Source organism: Homo sapiens, chromosome 5 (genome assembly GCF_000001405.40).
Source record: "Homo sapiens chromosome 5, GRCh38.p14 Primary Assembly".
NCBI classification, from domain to species: Eukaryota; Metazoa; Chordata; class Mammalia; order Primates; family Hominidae; genus Homo; species Homo sapiens.
Window position 1 is genome coordinate 153,913,521 of NC_000005.10, and position 4,274 is coordinate 153,917,794.

The following is a 4,274-nucleotide window of genomic DNA, read 5'->3' on the forward strand; positions in this document are numbered from 1 at the left end:
TACCATAATGCCTTTTTGTAGACTTGTTCTTTTTACTTAGGATTGCCTTGGCTATTCGGGCTCTTTTTTTGGTTCCATATGAATTTTAAAATCGTTTCTTCTAATTCTGTGAAGAATGTCAATGGTAGTTTAATGCAAATGCATTGAATCTATAAATTGCTTTGGGCAGTATGGCCGTTTTCACAATATTGACTCTTCCTATCCATGAACATGCAAAATTTTTCCATTTGTTTGTGTCATCTGTGATTTCTTTGAGCAGTGATTTGTAGTTCTCCTTGAAGTGATCCTTCACTTCTCTTGTTAGCTGTATTCCTAGGTGTTTTATTCTTTTTGTAGCAATTGTGAATAGGAGTTCATTCATGATTTGGCTTTTGCCTTACCTGTTGGTGTATAGAAATGCTAGCAATTTTTGCATATTGATTTTGTAACCTGAGACTTTGCTGAAGTTGCCTGTCAGCTTAAGAAGCGTTTGGGGTGAGATGATGGGGTTTTCTAGATATAAGATTATGTCATCTGCAAACAAAGAGAGTTGACTCCCTCCCTTCCTATTTGTATACCCTTTATTTCTTTTTCTTCTCTGATTGCCCTGGCCAGAACTTCCAATACCGTGTTGAATAGGAGTGGTGAGAGAGGGCATCCTTGTATTGGGTTGGTTTCCAAGGAAAATGCTCCCTACTTTTGCCCATTCAGTATGATATTGGCCATGAGTTTGTTATAGATGGTTCTTATTATTTTAAGGTATCTTCCTTCAATACCTAGTTTACTGAGACTTTTAACATGAAGAGATGTTGAATTTTATCAAAGGCCTTTTCTGCATACATTGAGATAAACATGTGAGTTTTGTCGTTAGTTCTGTTTATGTGATGAATCACATGTATTGATTTGTGTATGTTGAACCAACCTTGCATCCTGGGGATGCAGCCGACTTGATCATGGTGGATAAGCTTTTTGATGTGTTGCTGGATTTGGTTTGCCAGTATTTTGTTGAGAACTTTCGCATTAATGTTCATCAAGAATATTGGCCTGAACTTTTCTTTTTTGTTGTATCTCTGCCAGGTTTTGGTATCAAGAAGATGCTGGCCTCATAGAATGAGTTAGAGAGGAGTCCCTTCTTTTCAAGTTTTTGGAATAGTTTCAATAGGAGTGGTACAAGCTCATTTTTGTACCTCTGCTAGAATTTAGCCATGAGTCCATCTGGTCCTGGGTTTTATTGGTTGTTAAGCTATTTATTACTGCCTGAATTTCAGAACTCACTACTGGTCTTTTCAGGGATTCAATTTCTTCCTGGTTCAGTCTTGGAAGGGTGTATGTGTCCAGGAATTTATCCATTTCTTCTAGATTTTCTAGTTTATATGCATATAGGTGTTTATAATATTCTCTGATGGTTGTTTGTATTTGTGTGGAGTCAGTGGTGATATCCTCCTTATCATTTCCAATTGTGTTTATTTGAATCTTTACTCTTTTCTTTTTTATTAGTCTAGCTAGTGGTCTGTTTTATTAATTTTCTCAAAAATCAGCTCCTGGATTCATTGATCATTTAAATGGCTTGTCATGTCTCTATCTCCCTTCAGTTCAGCTCTTATCTCTGTTATTTCTTGTCTTCTGCTAGCTTTGGGGTTTGTTTGCTCTTGGTTCTCTAGTTCTTTTAGTTGTGATGTTAGGTTATTAACTTGAGTTTCTAGATTTTTTGATTTGGGCATTTGGTGCTATAATTTTCCCTCTTAACACTGCTTTAACTGCATCCCAGAGATTCTGGTACATTGCCTCTTTGTTCTCATTAGTTTCAAAGAACTTCTTGATTTCATAAATTTCATGATTTACCAAAAAATTATTCAAGGGCAGGCTGTTCAATTTCCATGTAGTTGTATGGCTGTGAGTGAATTTCTTAATCTTGAGTTCTAATTTGATTGCACTGTGGTTCAAGATAATTTTTGTTATGATTTCACTTCTTTTGCCTTTGCTGAGGCTATGTGATCAATTTTAGAGTGTCATGTGGTGATAAGAAGAATGTATATTCTGTTGTTTCTGGGTGGAGAGTGCAACAGATATCCATCAGCTCCACTTGATCCAGAGCTGAGTTCAGGTCCTGAATATCTTTGTTAATTTTCTGTCCTGATGTATCCATCAGATCCACTTGATCCAGAGCTGAGTTCAGGTCCTGAATATCTTTGTTAATTTTCTGTCTTAATGATCCGTGTAATATTGTCAGTGGGGTGTTATATTTTCCCACTCTTTTTTTTAGAGTCTAAGTTTCTTTGAAGGGCTCTAAGAATTTGCTTTATGAATCTGGGTGCTTCTGTATTGGGTGCATATATATGTAGGATAGTTAGCTCTTCTTGTTGAATTGAACCCCTTACCATTAGGTAATGCCCTTCTTTGTCTTTTTTTTAAATCTTTGTTGGTTTAAAGTCTGTTTTGTCAGAAACTAAGATTGCATCCCCTCTTTTTTCTGTTTTCCACTTGCATGTAAATTTTTCTCCATCCCTTTATTTTGAGCCTATGTGTATCTTTGCGTGTGAGATAGGTCTCTTAAAGACAGCATACTGACGGGTCTTGATTCTTTATCCAGCTCCCCACTCTGTGTCCTTTAATTGGAGCATTTAGCACTCTTACATTTAAGGTTACTATTGTTATGTGTGGATTTGATCCTATCATCATGATGCTAGCTGGTTATTTTGCAGACTTGTTTATGTGATTGCTTCATAGTGTCATTGTCTGTGTACTTCAGTGTGTTTTTGTAGTGGCTGGGGAGTACTGACTTGTTGCCAGCCCAAATGTACCTGTAGGAGGTGGCTGGAGACCCCAGTTGGGAGGTCTCACCCTGTTAGGAGGAACGGGATCAGGGACCCGCTTAAAGAAGCAGTCTGGCTGCATTTTGGTAGAGCAGCCATGCTGTTGGGGATCACTTCAGCCCCCTCCCCACCCTCAATCAGTTTCGGCTCTCCAAGGCCCACAGGCTGGACTAGCTGAGACACCCAAATAGCAAAGGTAGCAGCCCACCCCGCTCCCCTGGCACTCCATCCCAGGGAGAAATTAGAATTCTGTCAGCTGTAGAACACAGGTAGGGGTGGCTAGAGGTCCTGGCTGGGAGGACAAACCCAGCAAGGAGGAATGGAATGGAGTCCCATTTAAAGAAGTGGTCTGGCCACACCTTGACAAAACAGCCTCACGGTGCTGGGAAACTACCTCTGCCCTGGTTGGCTTAGACTCTCCAAAGCCCACAGTCTAGAACAGCCAAGTAATCCAAAAACAAAGGTAGCGCCTTGCCCCCTCACCCTAGACACTTCGTCCCAGAAAGATCAGAGCTGGAGGTAGCTGGAGGCCCTGGCTGGGAGGTCCTGCCCAGTAAGGAGAAATGGATCAGGCTTCCACTTAAAGAAGCAGTCTGGCCACATTTTGGCAAAGCAGCTGTGCTGTGCTAGGGGGTCCCCTCCTTGTCTGGACTGTTTGGACTCTTCAAAGCCAGCAGGCTGGAATGGCTGAGTCATCCAAACAACAAAGGTGGCAGCCTACCTGTCCTGCCTGGCACTCCCTCTGTCCCAGGGACAAAGCAGGCAGGGGTGGCTGGAGGCCCTGGCTGGGAGGTCCTGCCCAGTGAGGAGGAATGGATCAGGGTCCCAGTTAAAGAAGAAGTCTAGCCACATTTTGGTAAAGCAGTTGTGTTGCACGGGAAGTAGAGGGGGGCATTCCTTCCTTATCCGGGCTATCTGGACTATCCAAGGCCCACAAGCTGGAATAGCCTAGTCGTCCAAACAGCAAAGATGGTGGCCCTCCCCTCCCCCTGGGGGATCCATCCCATCTCACACAGGCTCACCCTATTGCCAATGACTGGCTAGAATTCCAGGCCAATGGGTTTTATCTTGTGAGGTGCTGGTGGAAGTGGGGCCCACAGACCAAGGCTGCTTGGCCCCCAGCTTCAGGCCCTTTCCTAGGGGTATGTACAGACCTCCCACCTTGCCTGAGTTGCAGTCACCTTTATCAGAGATTCCGGGCCGGAATATGTAAAGCTCCTGGGTCTCTGTGCATGCCTAAGCAGCTGCTCTGTGGAGACTCCACATAGTTCTGTGTGTTAGACCCAAGGCCCTGGTGGAGTGGGCTCATGAGGGGATCTCCTGATCCTAGGGTTGCAAATATCCATGCAAAGATCCATGGAAGAAGTGGGGTTTCCCAAGGTCACACATTCACTCACCATTCCCCTTGGCTGGGAATGGGGGTTCCCTTGGCTCTCTGTCTCTCCTGGGTGGGTTGTCACCCTGCCCTGCTTTTCTTTGTTC